At 44.7% G+C, this 17,983-nt stretch overlaps 1 protein-coding gene across 2 annotated transcripts in view; it reads left to right on the top strand.

Annotated features, from left to right (window-relative positions):
• GATB (glutamyl-tRNA amidotransferase subunit B) overlaps positions 1-17,983 on the top strand; it is a 90,504-nt gene that overhangs the window by 27,651 nt on the left and 44,870 nt on the right. For both annotated transcript variants that reach the window (NM_001363341.2, NM_004564.3), the window contains exons 3-5: positions 13,819-13,932; positions 16,283-16,481; positions 17,226-17,348. In NM_001363341.2, the coding sequence (NP_001350270.1) occupies positions 13,819-13,932; positions 16,283-16,481; positions 17,226-17,348 (436 nt within the window). The remainder of the gene's footprint in view (positions 1-13,818; positions 13,933-16,282; positions 16,482-17,225; positions 17,349-17,983) is intronic.

Here is a 17,983-nt window from a genome sequence, read left to right as displayed (position 1 = left end):
GTTTATGTGCCTAAAGGTGTTCATAGTAGCCTTGAATGATCTTTTGTATTTCAGTGGTGTCAGTTGTAATATCTCCTGTTTCGTTTCTCAGTGAGTTTATTTGGATTTTCTCTCTTCTTTTCTTGGTTAATCTTGTTAATGGTCTATCAATTTTATTTATCTTTTCAAAGAACCAGTTTTTGGTTTCATTTATCTTTTGTATTTTTTTTGTTTGTTTCAATTTCATTTAGTTCTGCTCTGATCTTGGTTATTTTTCTTCTGCTGGGTTTGGGTTTGGTTTGTTCTTATTTCTCTAGTTCCTTGAGGTGTGACCTTAGATTGTCTGTTGGTACTCTTTCAGACTTTTTGATGTAGGTGTTTAGGGCTGTGAACTTTCCTCCTAACACCTTCTTAGCTGTATCCCAGAGGTTTTGATAGGTTGTGTCATTATTGTCATTCAGTTATAAAAGTGTGTCCAAAGTTTCCTGAATTTTTTAGTTTTTTTAATATTTATCTTTTTATTTCTACATAGTTTTTAATATAATTTTAGCATCTTTTTATTTTTCCATGTTTTTGAACAAAATTATAATGATAGTATTCACAGATCTTTGTTTCTTAATTTTTCTCATTAAAATTATAAAAATTCTTTTTTTTTTTTTTTTTATTGATCATTCTTGGGTGTTTCTCGCAGAGGGGGATTTGGCAGGGTCATAGGACAATAGTGGAGGGAAGGTCAGCAGATAAACAAGTGAGCAAAGGTCTCTGGTTTTCCTAGGCAGAGGACCCTGCAGCCTTCCGCAGTGTTTGTGTCCCTGGGTACTTGAGATTAGGGAGTGGTGATGACTCTTAATGAGCATGCTGCCTTCAAGCATCTGTTTAACAAAGCACATCTTGCACCGCCCTTAATCCATTCAACCCTGAGTGGACACAGCACATGCCCCAGAGCACAGGGTTGGGGGCAGGGTCACAGATCAACAGCATCCCAAGGCAGAAGAACCTCTCCCAGTACAGAACAAAATGGAGTCTCCTATGTCTACTTCTTTCTACACAGACACAGCAACAATCTGATTTCTCTATCTTTTCCCCACCTTTCCCCCTTTTCTATTCCACAAAACCGCCATCGTCATCATGGCCCATTCTCAATGAGCTGTTGGGTACACCTCCCTGATGGGGTGGTGGCCAGGCAGAGGGGCTCCTCACTTCCCAGAAGGGGTGGCCGGGCAGAGGCGCCCCCCACCTCCTGGACGGGGCGGTGGCCGGGCGGAGGCTCCCCCCACCTCCCTCCCGGACGGGGCGGCTGGCCGGGCGGGGGCTGACCCCCCCACCTCCCTCCCGGACGGGGCGGCTGGCCGGGCGGGGGCTGACCCCCCACCTCCCTCCCGGACGGGGCGGCTGGCCGGGCAGGGGCTGACCCCCCACTTCCCTCCCGGACGGGGCGGCTGGCCCGGCGGGGGCTGACCCCCACCTCCCTCCCGGATGGGGCGGCTGCTGGGTGGCTGCCGGGCGGAGGGGCTCCTCACTTCTCAGATGGGGCGGCTGCCGGGCAGAGGGGCTCCTCACTTCTCAGACGGGGCGGCCGGGCAGAGACGCTCCTCACCTCCCAGACGGGGTCACAGCCGGGCAGAGACGCTCCTCACATCCCAGACGGGGCAGCGGGGCAGAGGCGCTCCCCACATCTCAGACGATGGGCGGCCGGGCAGAGACGCTCCTCACTTCCTAGACGGGATGGCAGCTGGGAAGAGGCACTCCTCACTTCCCAGACTGGGCAGCCGGGCAGAGGCGTTCCTCACATCCCAGACGATGGGTGGCCAGGCAGAGATGCTCCTCACTTCCCAGACGGGGTGGCAGCCGGGCAGAGGCTGCAATCTCGGCACTTTGGGAGGCCAAGGCAGGCGGCTGGGAGGTGGAGGTTGTAGCTAGCCGAGATCACGCCACTGCACTCCAGCCTGGGCAACATTGAGCACTGAGTGAGCGAGACTCCGTCTGCAATCCCGGCATCTCAGGAGGCCGAGGCTGGCAGATCACTTGTGATTAGGAGCTGGAGATCAGCCCGGCCAACATGGCGAAACCCCGTCTCCACCAAAAAAATACGAAAACCAGTCAGGCGTGGCGGCGCGCGCCCGCAATGGCAGGCACTCGGCAGGCTGAGGCAGGAGAATCAGGCAGGGAGGTTGCAGTGAGCGGAGATGGCAGCAGTATAGTCCAGCCTCGGCTTGGCATCAGAGGGAGACCGTGGAAAGAGAGAGGGAGACCGTGGGGAGAGGGGGAGGGGGAAGGGGAGGGGGAGGGAGAGGGTTTTTTCTTTAAGCTATCTATTTCCTTGAATATTTCTCCCTTCACTTCTTGTATCATATTTTGGATTTCCTTGCATTGGGCTTCGCCTTTCTCTGGTCCCTCCCTGATTAGCTTAATAGCTGACCTCCTGAATTCTTTTTCAGGTAAATCAGGGATTTCTTCTTGATTTGGATTCATTGCTGGTAAACTAGTGTGATTTTGGGGGAGTGTTGAAAAGCCTTGTTTTGTCATATTACCAGCGTTGGTTTTCTCGTTCCTTCTCATTTGGGTAGGCTCTGTCAGAGGGAAGGTCCAGGGCTGAAAGCTGCTATTCAGGTCTTTTTGTCCCATGGGGTGTTCCCTTGATGTAATAATATTCTCTCCCTTTTCCTGTGGATGTGGCTTCCTTTGAGCTGAACTGTAGTGACTGTTGTCTGTCTTCTGGGTCTAGCCACCCAGTGAGTCTTCGTGGCTCCAGGCTGGCACTGGGGGCTGTCTGCACAGAGTCCTGTGATGTGAACCATCCATTGGTCTCTCAGCCGTGAATACCAGCGCCTGTTCTGGTGAAGGTGGCAGAGGGTGCAGTGGACTCCGTGGGAGTCCTTAGCTTTGGTGGTTTAATGCTTTATTTTTGTGCTGGTTGGCCTTCTGCCAGGAGGTGGTGCTTTCCAGAGAGCATTAGCTGTAGTATGGAGAGGGACCAGTGGTGGGCGGGGCCCTAGAACTCCCAAGATTGTATGTCCTTCGTCTTCTGTTACCAGGTTGAGTAGGGAAGGACCATCAGGTGGCAGCAGGGCTAGGCATGTCTGAGCTCAGACTCTCCTTGGGCGGGTCTTGCTGCGGCTGCTGTGGATGATGGGGATGAGATTCCCAGGTCACTGGAGTTGTGTGCCTAGGAGGATTTATGGCTGCCTCTGCTGAGTCATGCGGGTTGTCAGGGAAGAAGGGGAAAGCTGGCAGTCACAGGCCTCACCCAGCTCCCACACAAACCAAAGGGCCAGTCTCACTCCCACCACACCCCGAGTCTGTTTCCAGGCAGAGGGCAGGTGGGGCTTGAAAACTTGCCTGAGGCTTTCCACTTCCCAGAGTATTTGGGGTGTCTCCCGGGTCCTGTAGGAGCAGTTTTCTCAGGATTGCTGGCCTGCTCTTGCAGCTGATCTGGAGGTAAAATTCACAATGCAAGCCTCCGCATGCTGCTCTGTCTGGAGCTGCAATCTAGTCCTGCCTCCCGTCTGCCATGATCCGACCAGCATCAGTTTCAATAGCTCCTGCCTCCTTTAGGGACTCTCCTTCTTCTCTTCATAGTTAATAGATTCCTTGAGTTTTGTGTGGGAGGCTTGTACCATCTCACCTAGATAGAAGAATTACCCAACACTTCCACTCTCTTCAACATTTTTTGTTTTGAAAAAATTAAAACTTACAGAAAAGTTGAAAGAATAGCACAATGAAATCCATCCTGCACCTAGATTTTTTTTTTCCTCCTTTGGATGAGCCATTTGAGAGTAAGTTGCAGACATCATGGCACTTCCTCTCTAAATATCTTAGCAGCTATCTCCTAAGAATAAAAATGTTCACTTCTATGATCACAGTATGATTATCACACTCAGGAAAGCTACTGTTGATGGAATACTGTTATTTAAAACATAGTTCATATTCAGGTTTGCACAGTTGTCTCAGTATTGTCCTTTATTTTTCCCCCAATAAAAGATCCAGTCAAAGAGCACCCATTGCATTTAGTTGTCATGTCTCTTTAGTCCTTTTTCTTTTTGTTTCTTTTCCTTTCCTTTCCTCTCTTTCTCTCTCTTCCTTCTTTCCTTTCTTCATGACATTGACAGTTTTGAAATGCCCAGGCCAGCTATTTTATCTTACTATCTACTCCTAAAGCAAACATAATTAAGGAAATAGGGAGTTTGCCCTATGAAAGTTTGCAGTTTTTTCTTTCTTTCTCTTACGAACCTCCATGATTTTATGACTTACTAAGAAGCCTCTAAGATGATGCTATATGCATTCCTATTGGATGTGTGAAATTAAAGGTAGCTTTTTCTTCCTAAAAGTCTCTGTCCTGATAGACTCTTCCAGAGACTCACTTCTCAGGACATTTGTGAGGCTGGTGAATATATAGCAGGTGCACTTTTGACAAAATGGCACGTATCTCTAGGAATTTGTTTCTGATATTCATAGGCCTCGTTCATACCTGATCCTGTATTCATATCAATAGTGAATACTTAGCTGCATTTCTTACTTAGAGTTTGGTTGGTTCAAGACAGTTGTTTTGTTTCTTAGCAATAGTCAAATCTTTCAACTTAATACTAATCTTATATATAAAGAAGAAAGTAAATCTCATTCTGATTATTAGAGCTTTTCAGTCATGAAATTAATGTTTCTTGTTACTATCACTGATTCCTCTTGAGGTTTCAGTGATGTGAAATAGTTTGTCATTGCATCAGATCTCTCCAGGTGTAGAGTCTCTTGAGTAAATTTTAGGACACATCAGAAAAGACTTGACAGTTTCAGTATGGGGCAAATCTAGATGAATGAGTTTGTGTTTTAGCTTTTTAAATATTAATATACTTTTTTTAAAAAAGTTATAAACAAGAGAAAGACAAATATTCAGAGTTGAAGTAGGAGAAATCTTTCTTCACTAAAGATCTTGGCCATATCCTAAAGTTGTATTCAAAAAGAACAATATTTTTGATTGTTTGTTTGGTTTTGTGTTTTTACATGATTCCCATATCCTTTATACATCTCTTCTTCATCAATTCTCATTGAATTTCAAAAGTAGCTACTAGCTTAGAAGACAGGAAGTTACAGATGTGTGGCAGGCAAGAATGAGATGGGAGTAAAAATTGGCTCAGTTAACTGGTTTGTAACTTCAGCCTGTTAGAAGCTCGTTTCTTTTAGTGCACATGGGAGCTTTTTTTGGCCATGGGAAGGCATACAAGGTTATCCAGGAAATTTTTGCTTCATTATGAAACAAAGAAAATGAAGTCCTGTAAGCTCCCTGAGACATTAAGAAATATGGTCTCCAGTCCACTGGAGATAACACAAGTAATTATCACAAAAGGTGTTGGTTATCATTTAAGGGGGAAATATTATGTTGACATAATACATAATTTCAGCATCTGTTGTGCCTTATTTTGGATTATAAATCCAGACTAATAGATCTGTGGAGCTGTTTAGCCCTTTTCACATCAAATTCCCATGCCTCCTGGAAAAGTTAACATATGAAAGATTCGATTGAGATAGGCACTTTGCATTTAATAACATTTTCATTCTGAAACTAATATTACTAAGTGTCTGCTATGTGTGAAGTTATTTTATTTAATTCATAGAACAATCCTGCCAAATAACTATTCTTCCCTAAACAGATAAGGAAAGTGAGGCCTAGAGAGGTAAGGTAATTTGTGCAAGATAACATGGCTAGTGTGAGGAGTAAGATTCAGATTCTGTTCTTTCTGACTAAATTTTGCCCTAGTTCATCAATTAGTATATGTCTTCTCAGAGATCAGGTTAATCACCAGTGAGTAATGCCAGATTAGTAACTGTTGAGAATGTTGTGGGAACAAGGAATAGAGACCAGTTAATCTACACACCCAGTCTTGTCTTTTACTGGCCACCAACCACTGTAACCTCCCTATCTAACATGGCTAACTGGCCAAGTATGAGATTTCACAAATGTATGCCGTAGCAGTTGGGCCATTGGCCTCCAATCCCAAAGTGAAATCCAAGCAAACCAAACTGTATCATGGGAGAGCTCTTTTCATCCATATTAGGGGTGGACCTAGGACTGATGTAGGCCAAAGACTTTTCTGTCCTTTTTCTAAAATCCCTGAGGTAAATCTCAGATCTTAGTATTCCAGTGGTACATGGAAAAGCAATAAAGGGCCGGGCATGGTGACTCAAGCCTGAAATCTCAGCACTTTGGGAGGCTGAGGCGGGCACACCGCTTGAGCCCAGGAGTTCAAGAGCAGCCTGGGCAACATAGCAAGACCTCGTCTCTTCAAAATATAAATTAAAAAATTAACCAGGCATGGTGGCTCACACCTGTGGTCCCAGCTATTCGGGAGGCGAAAGTGGGAGTATCCCCTGAGCCTGGAAGATCTAGGCTGCCTTGAGCTGTGATCGGGCCACTGCACTCCAACCTGGACGACAGAGTAAGACCTTGTCTCAAAAAGAAGAAAAGAAAAGAGAGATAGCCCCAGTGCCAAAAGCCATGCTGACATCAAGTGCCTCATGGTGACCGTGGCCTCCTGAGCTTGCTAGGTAGGCAAAGACAGGAAGAGGATGGAATCCCAGATGAGAAAAATGGGACTTTTGACACTCTGGACCAAGGAAAATTTCCTCCCCTTGCTCCTGACCACCCCTGGGGAATGGAATTAGTATAAGAGAGCTCAGAATAGGAGAAAACTGGGAACTGAGGATAGTTGAACCTGCCAGACTACACTTCTCTTCTTTGGAATCAGAGTTGCTTCCTGTGCGATGGCTATTTGATTTTCTTTCCCCTTCGGGAAAGAGGGATTTAAACAAAAGAGGAAATGTAGCCTTCACATTCTCCTTGTCCCTAGGCAATGCCTGTGCTTAAGGATAAAGAACATATATATTTATGTGGTTCTGTTAATATAAATACTTAATACCTGCATAAAAGGAGTACCTTTGGATGGTAAAATTCCACTTTAAAAAATTAACTGACCAGTTTCAGCAAGCTTAATTATTATAGCACAAGAGGTTTTGTATTTGTTTTGGGTGATGATAAAAGGGCTCAGTGGTGAGAAGTGGTGTAGGGGTGCGGAAACAGGGGAGCAATATTCTCAACTGTAATGAAAATTTATCCGTGTGGTAACTTTTGCTTTGAATATGAATCAGAGGGAGTTCATGCTTTGAGACAAATTTATGGTTAGCAGTAAGATAAAGGCCTGTTTTACTGCCTTCTTTTTACTTAATAAATCTTAATTGCTTTCTCTCCATAAATTAAAGCATTTACCATGCTATATCCTAATTATCAGATTTGTCATGTATAGCATCAGTTTCACAGAGTAATTGCCATGTGGGCTTTTTGGAAAACATCACCTTCTACTCTTTGTTTTGATGCCTGAGAGGAATTGCCAGCTGGATTTTCAGTAAGGACTCTAGTCTTGCCATGTCACCTCAATTTTTTAAGGATGTGCTGATACTTATTGGACTAACTTTGGGTGTTACAGCATCATGGGCTCACCAATTGAGGGCAAAGTAGGAAGGGGAGAGAAATGGTGTGAATTGAGGACTATTTAGAAAGACATTCAATGTTATTCCTTTGAAGTACATAACAAGATATTTCTCAGTATAGATCCTAGAGACTGGCTTTTGTGAATAGATTTATTTGTAATTAGTGGAATTTCACATAAAAGTACTAAAATCCTAGAGAATATTTTATGGACTTAAGTAAGTTATATAATCTTCTTTATTCTGTTAATTTGCTTAGCAAACCCTTTCCTGGTATTTAATGTAGATTTACAGTTGAGTTCAATCCAGATGAGTTATCACAAATGTTCCTTATAAATTAGTTGGATTTCATAATTCTTGGCTCCACGCATGTGAAAAGGGTGTCCACAAAATGTTCAGTTTTAAGTTGATTGGACAGACTAGAGAGTGGCATTGTTTTTTTGAATAGCTGTTTATTTATCAAAAGAAAAAAGGACAGAAATGAACATAGAACTGTATGTATTTGCTGAGGTAGTCATGGCCTGTGTGTTCTCAGCTCTGTGCTACACCACTTTGCTGCTCCACTCTGAATGGCAGGGAGGCTGCTCCTGCAGGCTACAGATCCTAGAGCCCCAGCTCGGCTGGCTTCTGGCTGGGTTAGGCCAGCAGGAGGCTCTGATAGAAGACTAGAGGTAGGAGGAAAGGAGCAAGAGGGTATTTCGCCTTTGCTCTGCCTCCAGCAACATCTCTGATAGAGGATGGGTCTTACCCATGGCTCCAGCTTCTAGTGTGTTTCCAGCATCCTCTGATGGCCCCAATACCCTGTGATAGGAGTGGCCTCCTGCTGTTGAGAATCTCTTAACTTGCCCAAATGTGCCCTCTTTGACGTTTCAGCTCTTCTCTCATGTGTAATAAAGCCTCTGTGTTAAAAGAGTGGTTTCCTTTTCCTGATTCATACATTTTGTAGAACAATTTGCTTTTATGTCACAGCTTATAGTCTTTTGAATGTTGATAAAGGAAATGTTAAATTATTCATTATCTCATTTAATCAGCTTGGTATTATATTTAGGTGATGGGGCAAAGAAGAATAAGACAAAATGACCTGATTGCCCTCAGGGAACTCAGTCTGTTTGGGGAAACAGTGTGTTCCCCAAGTGCCAGGGGAGCTAAATGGAAGAAAGACCTAGACTGTAGTAGTGGTGGGAAAGATGTCACAAAACAGGTGACATCCGAAAGTCTTGCCAGATACTAAGATCTTGCTCAAGCAGATGAGGAAGAAGGGCATTCCCAGCAGAAGCAGCAGTTTGTATGAAAGCATGTGTCACGTTTGGCTGCAGGAGCATGGTGGTCAGGGGGACTGGAGGAAGAGGAAGCTAGAGAGGTGGTCGGGGTAGACCACAAAGAGCATTGAAGCCTCTGCCAGGCAATTGGACTTTATCCTGTTAGGACTGGGAAGCAGTGAAAAGGATTTTAAGCAGAGGAATTACATGAACAGATTTATCCTTCAAAAAGGTCACCTTAGGAGAGGTGTGGAAGAGAGACTAGAGGGCTGAAAATGGAGGCAGAGAAACCTCCTGGCCAGGTGGTGAGTGGCAGAAGTCCTGGTGGGAGTGGGTGGTGTTTAAACAAAGACCTGAATTAAAACTGAAGGCAAGAGGAGGAGGGGAAAAATCAAGAAATGTTAAGAAAGTAGAATGTGTAGAACTTGGTGATTTGTTTGAAAGTGTTGGGAGTTGTTGTTAAATGATGGTCTCAGAGATCATGGAATATTTGTCTGGTTTAGCTAAATAAATGTTAAAACTAGAAGCCTGTTTCTCAAATTGGGGTCGCTGTGTCCCCTTAGAGGTCTCATGCAAACTCTGAGTTGTTTATGCTGCCTTATGAGCTAGATGTATCTTAGGTTTCAAACAATTATGATTGCAGCACTACTCAGGTCTTACAATAAGCCAGACAAGCAATTCTTTATTAAAAATCATTTGCTACTCCCACCACCCACCACCCCAAGATCTTTTTCCTGGCCATTATGTGCCTTATCTCTCTCTACTAGTCATAAAATTTGTTGGCCACCCACTGTGTATTTATCTCATCTCCTACCTCTACCCATCACAGCTTTCTCATCTTCTGATTAAATAGAAGAATTAGCCTCTTATTTGATAAATCATTGTATGGGTGCCTGTGTCTAAGGGTTTCTGAAGTCTAGCAATAGAACATCCTCTGCTCGTTGAGAAAACATGTAGGGTCACCCATCACCAAGCACTCCACATGCCAGAGACTGCACTGAAAGAACACTCAATTCTTTCATGTAGTTAAAAGAACACAATGCTTGCCCTCTGAGAGTTCAACATCTGGAAACAAATCTAAAGAGGGAGAAACTGGCAAGAAGAAACACATTAGAAATAGCATCTGCCTTAAATGATGTACAGTAGGATTTGGGTTGAGGTGCTGCTCTGGAGTTATGGCCTGCTGTTAGTAGTCTTGATAGCTAAAACTAACATGCTTTTTTCTTGTAAGATTTCAGATTGAATATAGTGGTTGAGAGCCTGGATTCTGGGATCTGACTTCCTGGCTCTGCCACTTCCATGTGTCACCCTGACCAAACTGTGTCATCTCTATGCTTCCCTTCATTGTAAGATGAGGATCATAATAGTATTTACCCTAGGAATGAGAGGATTCAATGGCATGTGTGTGTGATGTGCAGCACACCTCCTGACACAGTGTCAGTGCACAATAAATACTCGCTGCTGACCCTTCCTGAAGCCAAAAAGAAGCCTCTGAAGGCTCAGCTGAGAAAGGTGTGCTGCGTGAGTACCAAAAATTACTGCCTTCTTTCCAAACGAGAGCTGCTATGGCTAACCCTGAGATCCTTTGTAGTCATTTAATTACAGAGAAATTCTGGAACATACTTTCTTCAAGCCAAGTTAGTCTTTTTAGTTTTTAAATTACATCTTGATCGTATCACACACAATCAGTTGTCACTTCAGGGCACTTCCAGAAACAAGTTTGCAGGCCAGCATGTGGCAGGTAACACCTTAGAGGAGACTGGGGCATCACTGCCTCTCTGAAATCGTCCATTGATATCATCCCCTCCCTCCTCCTTTGAGCTCAGCACACATTAATCAAATACCACAATTTTTCAGGTTCTGTATTAGGCTCCAGGGATACAAGGGTGAACAGACAATTCCCGTCCTCATGAAATGTGCAATTGTGTGGAACTACATGTGAACAAATTCAATCCACTGTGATGGAAGCCCCAATGGGAGTGTGTAGAAGGTCAGAAGAGGTACACAGAAAGGACAACAAGGAAGGCTTCACAGAAGTGGTGACGTCCCACTAGGATTTTGAAGGGAATAAGAATGGGGAGAATCAGAAGATCAGCACGGTTTGCACAGAGGAACTACAGCAGAGGTGTTGTGGGGGGACATGGTGGTAGATGAAATTGAAGATGTAGGCAGGAGTTTGATCATGTAAGAGCTTGGCCTTTGTCGTGGGAACATCAGGGGCCATTGAGGGACTTCAGGTAACAGAATGCCACAGATCCACAATTTTAGCAGGATCACCCTAGTATGAAAGACAAACTTGAAAAGGGTTTGCAGATGCTGGCAGGTTCATGTCACCACTGCGGATTCATTGAGGGCAGAGACAGAGTCCTATTTATCTATGTACCCCTAAAGTTTAGTGCTTTATAGACATTTAAGAATTTTTTTTTTCAGAGTGAAGACAGCCCAAGTTGAATTTTCCCATTCTGTATCCTATCCTCAGAACATGCTGACCTGGACTTCCATCTGTCACAAGCAGCTTGACTAAGATCCTAGGAAATTCCTTTTTTTCTTGGCATTCTTCTAACTGACACTCTCTGTTTACTGGGCCCTCTGTGCATCTGTAACGTGTGATGACTGATGCTTATAATTCTGACCTTGAAGTACTTCATGGCTTCTAAATCATCAAAAAAAGATTAAAGCATATTCTCAGTATCACTGTAATGTTTGTGTGTTTTACTGCCTTCTTCTCTGGAAAGTGGTGGTTTATGAAGTGCCCGTGCGCTTGTGTGCACACGGACACAGTGAGAGTCTGTGATGGTCCTCAACTCTTCTCCCACAGGGAGGCTATGGTGCGTGCTTGAAAATAAACAAACAAAATAACCTGGGTTCTCTTCATGCCTAGCAGGAGGAAGCAGCTTGGTCCCAGGGGCAAAGAAGCTTGAAATGAGAGCGAAAGCAGTGGTTAGGAAAGCAGAGGGAATGATGAGGCAGAACTGGTGCAGACCAGGAGTCAGGCAGTTTACGAGCCAGCCCTGGCTGACTGCATTCTGACCCCAGGAAGAGCAAAGCCCAGGGTCGGGACTGCAGCTTCATGTTCTGTGTGCCTGGACCCGAATCATCAGGCTTGGATTTGGCGGGATTCTCCACCAGCTATGTTTGTATCTCAGTAACAACCGCTCAGTAAAATGCCAGACATTAGGCAAGTGAAAACATCAATAATTAGAGCCTCCTGTTCCCCACACATCTTTTCTTGAAAACCTTTATTGCTGCAGAGCTGACATTATTAGGCACAGAATGAAGAACTCCAAATAGAAACTGTGAAATGGCTCCATCTTATAACCTGAGTCCTGAAAAATAAGGGTGTGATGTTGTCACTAGGCGGGAGATTTGTTTAGGTTTTCTTTTTTTCTTTTCTTTTTCCTTTTTTTTGAGATGGAGTCTCGCTCTGTCGCCCAGGCTGGAGTGCAGTGGCGAGATCTCGGCTCACTGCAACCTCCACCTCCCGGGTTCAAGTGATTCTCCTGCCTCAGCCTCCCAAGTAACTGGGACTACAGGTGCCTGCCATCACACCTAGCTAATTTTTTGTATTTTTAGTAGAGACGGGGTTTCACTGTGTTAGCCAGGATGGTCTCGATCTCCTGACCTCGTGATATACCCGCCTTGGCTTCCCAAAGTGCTGGGATTACAGGCATGAGCCACCACGCCTGGCCCTTGTTTGGGTTTTCTTTGGGGACCGTATATTGCAGTAAATAGAAATGCCCCTTCCATTTTGTTGTAGAAATTTGTTTTTAAAATCTGTGTTTGGTCTACACTCGTCATCCCAGCCTAAAGAGCCAGTCCCTGAACCACAGAAGTTCTGTTTGCCGCCTCTCAGCCACGGCATGTGTGGGCTTTACAGGCAGCTTTACCACTTGCCAGTTCTGTGAATTTGGGCAAATGTTTTAGACTCTTTGGGTCTTAGTTTTGTTTTTTTAATCTGAAATATTGGAATAATGCAGATTCCTTATTTTACAGCGTTGCTGTGAGGCTGAAATAAAATGGTGGATGTGGAAATGCTCAACTAGAAGGCCCTATCTATATCAATAATAGTATATTAAATATACTAAAGAACATCATAAATATCCTAACAAAAATAGAAATATATTTCATCTGCAAACATGACATCCTCCAAAATTGTCCCAAAGTAGAGTAGGGAAATGAACTATTTATTGAATCTCTACCTTAGGGGAGGTGTTCCAGCTATCACTTTATCTGTTCTGCAAAGTAGATCTTAAATCCCACTTTTAGACACAAGGAAACTGAGACTCCTAGTCACAGCAGAAGTGGGATTTGAACCTGACTCGAGAACTTAATGCTCCTTCTCCTTGGCTACATTATCTCGTTGTCTAGTTCCAGACCCCCAGTGTTCTTAAAAGCTTTGACATTCTTTGGTGCTGGGAAGTGTGCCAGCCATTTCTTGGTCATTCACTCCTGTAAGTGGGACAGGGTGGCACCCAGAGGGAACTGGAGCACCAGGTGCCCCCAGAGAGACCAGCAGCACGGAGTCGTCCAGTGTGTGGGACAGGCCCTCCGTTGGCGTTCCACTTTTAGGGAGTTGGCCTGGCATGGACAGAAAGCCAGGCAACAGCTGTGCCACATTTCCTAGCCCTTGAGAAAATGGCTACGGCCCTGTCGTTTTCAGAAGTTCATTCTTTTTCTGTCAAAGTGAAGCCACCCTTCCTCAGGACTCCTCTCAGCAATCAGTGCCTCTTGTGTATTCTGACCGGCCCCTTATTCTGTTTGTAGAGGGAGTGAGATTAGATTTATTCTATGTAGTAACCACTCCGCTAAGCTTTTCTGCGACTCTTCCTGTTAGCTTTGATGCCGGGCACTGGGGGAAAGGGTTCCCGATGTGGCAGTTCCTTAAGTGCCCGGTGGGACCCACTGCTGCATACATTTTCTTCTTTATATCCTTCCCTGATTCCCAGGCAAACAGACTCGGCTTGTGAACTGGAGCTGCCCACCCAGAGAACCAGAGATAATGCCTGTTGAAGGGCCAAGTTGCATATTCAGCGAGGATGTCAGTGTGTGGGAGAAGCATTTGTTCAGCCTGCGGTTCTGAGAGGAACTGTGTGTTGTGTTCCCATAGGTTCTCAACAGGAGGTGTGTAGAAGCGGCGGTGATGACAGGCCTGGCTCTGAACTGCCACATAAACAAGAAGTCCTTGTTTGACAGGAAGCACTACTTCTATGCAGACCTCCCTGTAAGTACACTTTGTGATCCACCCCACTGCAAGTTCTCAGAGCTGGGCCAGCCCTGCTGTGGGGGGTCGGAGCAAGGGAAAGGGGCTGTGCCTCTCATGTTTTCAGCCAGCACTGTGTCCATCCCAGCAGGAAGTTCGGCCCAGCCCTGATGCAGGCAGGTGCCCCTGATGGTTACTAGATCGGATGCAGTTGTCCTGATTGCTGACTTCTTGCTTACCTCATGCTTCTGGTGGCTCGCTCATAATTGCACAGGGAGTAGAAGCCAGTGTTTGCAGGCTCAGCCTGGCCGTGGTATTTGGTGCTAATTGCCTGTTAGTACAAAAGCTAAGGCTCTGGCTGATGCAACAGTAAATGCATACTGTAGTTCTGTCAGCAGAGCGAGAGCGAATCGCTTTTAAGTTGAAGTTCCCAATAATAGGGCTGTCTCCTTTGGAGACATTTCTGTCATCTCACAAGGAGCAAGTAAGTGGACAATAGTAAGCGGAAACATGAACCAGAAATCTGGACCAAGAACAGTAAACTGTTGGTCCAGTTACTTGGCTGAGCAGTAAACTCCATATTGACCCGCTTTTTTCTGAAAATTAAAAGGTTTTTTTCTTTAAGCCACACCATGTGAGTGAGAGCCAATTTTTCATACTATTGAACAGGAACAAAACTGAAATGTTGAATGGGTTTCCCAAAATAATGTTTTGTTTGGTCTGATTCAGAAAAACAACAGTGATGATGTTGCTTCACCTCTTTCTCCTTGAACTGAAGATTGGGGCGAGCTGTTTTTTAGTGGGTGAGGGCACGAGTAGAATTAAATAAAAAATACAAGTAAGACCTGCGTTCTCCAGTGGCTGCTGCTTTTCCCCTCTGGCCTCCAGCCTCTCAGCAAGTCTACTGTTTGGTAGGGCGGAAAGAATTAAACCGCCTTTCTTTATCTTTTAAGAGTGACAGACAGTTTGGTTGAGGTGGGAGATTTAGTAATAATATGACTAAAATGAGATGTTTTGGTCATCTGTGGCTTTCTGGTCTTTCTGGCCCAGATAGTTCAAATAATCCAGAGTTTCATGGGACATACTCATATAATAAAGCATTTGTTGTTTTTTCTGAAATTCAGATTTAACTGGGTGTCCTATATTTTATCCAACAACCCTACCCAGAGCTTAGTTTTACAAATTGAGACTTCCCGTCTCAGCATAGAAAACGGGTTAGCCTTTTGCAGGATTCTCAAAGTGTGGTCCCCAGGGCACTGACATCATCATCTCCTGGGAACTGGTAAGAAATATAAATCTTCAGGCCCCACCCTCGACCTACTGAATCGGAAACCTTTGAGGTCGGGCCAAGCAGTCTGTCTTTTGACAAGCACAGTAGTATTTCTGATGCAGTTAAAGTTCTTAAACTGGGGGCCTGCCAAGTGGTGAAAGACACGGATTTTGGAGCCTGACCATCTGAATTCAGACATTGACATTGATGCTCACTAGCTCTGTATGTGGCTGTGGGCAAGGTCTTAATCCCTCCACGCCTTGTTCCTCCTTCCTAGGGTTGTTGTGGAATTAACTGAGGGAACACAGTGAGAGCAGCACCTGGGACCTAGGAAGTGCCACAGATGCCTTTGCTTTTATTCTCTGTTCTTCTCCAATTCTCCTCATTGACCTGCTGTCTCTTTAGTGCGTATTGGTGCCTCTGTGCGTTTGCAAGTAATTCTTCCTTTCCACTTAGAAGCAGGTGAGGGATCCTTGCAGGATCCATCAGTGCTTTAGTACCATGTGCCTTCCATTAATGGAGGGGGAGTGTCACAGCATTTTCTGACTGGAGGAGCTAGGGAGGTTGGGTCAGGGAGGGCAGCTGCCATGATTGATTCCTTTAAAAAGCAGAAACAAAACAAGCTTAAACACACACTAGCAACTGCTGTTGGCCGTGTGGAGAGTAGATGGCAAAATGCTTAGCCAGCATTCCAAATAAGGAGGGTCTGCCAGGAGCCTGGTAATGAGATGCAGAGTTTAGGCTAATGAGCTGGATGGAAACAATAAATTCTTTTCTTAGGGGTCCCTGACAATGACATTATTGTTATTCCCCAATACAGCACTTTAATGAGGGCAATGGGATGAATTCGTGTTGTTTATTGCATCGTTATCAGGGGTGGAGGATTTGGGGAGGGTGAAGGGGTGATGGCAGGGGCAGAAGAGACCAGGCTCAATGATGGCTGCAATGCAGCAACTAATTTTTTTCTCCTTTTCCTTTTTTTCTTGTTGTTTTTGCTTTAAGTAGGCCTGTCGTTGTGTGACATTGTAAAAGGGATAGTAAACTGGATCCCAGCTTTTATGTGTGGACCAGTGACTATGTTTACCCTATGTTTGTGTGCAGGCAGGCTACCAAATTACCCAGCAGAGGCTCCCAATTGCTGTGAATGGGAGCTTGATATATGGCGTCTGTGCAGGGAAGAAGCAGAGTCAGGTGATCCCCAAGACGGTGAGGATCAAGCAGATCCAGTTGGAGCAAGACAGTGGCAAAAGCCTCCACGACAACCTGAGGTCTCAGACGCTCATTGATTTGAACAGGGCAGGTAGGCTTGGAGTGTTTTCATTATTTCTCCTTCCTACTTCAGTTCTTGGATAGCAGGGCCCTCTTTTCACCGCTAGAGTTTTCTTGAACAAATTGAGAAAGCAGTCACAGGAGCCTGATAGATGGAGACTAAAATATCAGCATTGGGATTGGCATAGCTGACTAGCGAACATGGCTTGAACTGTAATTATTAGGCTTGCTAATAACTCACCCTGAAGTTAGACAAACCTATCCACCTAGTCACAGACCCAGCAGCTGGATATTTTAAGCAGTCATTAAAAGAAGTGAAACATTTAAAAATCAAAACGTGGAGCCTAGGTGCCTACACGTGTAATGCTAGTGACTCAGGAGGCTGTGGGAGGATCACTGTACGCAGAGTTTGAGATCAGGCTGGGCAACATAGCGAGACCTACTTGCCAAAAAATTAACACCTAGGTGTGGTGCCATACACCTGTATCCCCAGCTATTCAGGAGGCTGAGGTGGGAGGATCACTTGAGCTCAAAAGTTCAGGGCTGCAGTGAGCTATGATCATGCCACTGCATTCCAGCCTGGGCAGCAGAGCAAGATGACGCCTCTTTAAAAAAAAAAAAAAAAAAAAGGTGGGAGGGAAGAGAAATGATTGAGAGGCTAGAACCACTCTGAGAGTCCTTCAGTAAGGCAGGGTTTTCCTGAAACTTAGGCCTAATTTTTCTGTTGGTGAAATTGGAGAGCTGCAGTGAGGCTGACTCTGCCCCTCTTTGGTAGGAGTGGGCCTTCTGGAGGTGGTCCTGGAGCCCGACATGTCCTGTGGAGAAGAGGCGGCAACAGCTGTCAGGGAGCTGCAGCTGATCCTTCAAGCCCTGGGGACCAGCCAGGCGAACATGGCAGGTAGAAGCCACAGAAGCAGTATTCTTCTTTCCCTCTCCCTTCCTGCCTTCTAGAACCTCTCTGACTTTAGTTTTATTTTCTGTCTATTATATTGAGGTTGTTTGCAGCCATTTTTTCCCCAGCCTTTTGCAACCCTGTTTTTTTGTTGTTGTTGTTTGTTTGTTTGTTTGTTTAGAATTTTCCTTGGATTCTTTGATGAGCCCCCAACCAAATATAAATATACGACCAACAACATTGCAGAGACACCAAACCCTTAATGAAATAATGGCTTTGAACAGTTCAGTCTTTCTCAGGAAGAAGACACTGTTTATCAAGAACAGTTCTTAGTTAGTGAGTACCGTATAGATAGCACTTCATAATTAGTTGCCTCTTTTCCTTTGGGTCTGTTTCTTTCCTTTTGTAGATTTTTCATCCATATACAGCGGAAGCCAAATTATATTGACTATAAGCCAAGATTATGAAAACTTTACCCTGAGATAAAATCTTAATTAAGTTCAGTGGAAATACAGTGGGAAACTAAAACAAATAAAAGAAACACCTGCACCCTTGGGACCAGACCACACATTATAAGCATTTGTAAATTACATATAAAGATCATAGGTTTTGGTCACACTCAATTTCCTCATGGCTCTAGG

Source organism: Homo sapiens, chromosome 4 (genome assembly GCF_000001405.40).
Source record: "Homo sapiens chromosome 4, GRCh38.p14 Primary Assembly".
Classification (NCBI taxonomy): domain Eukaryota; kingdom Metazoa; phylum Chordata; class Mammalia; order Primates; family Hominidae; genus Homo; species Homo sapiens.
The sequence above is the reverse complement of the archived record's forward strand: the minus strand, read 5'-3'. Positions and strand labels throughout refer to the sequence as shown.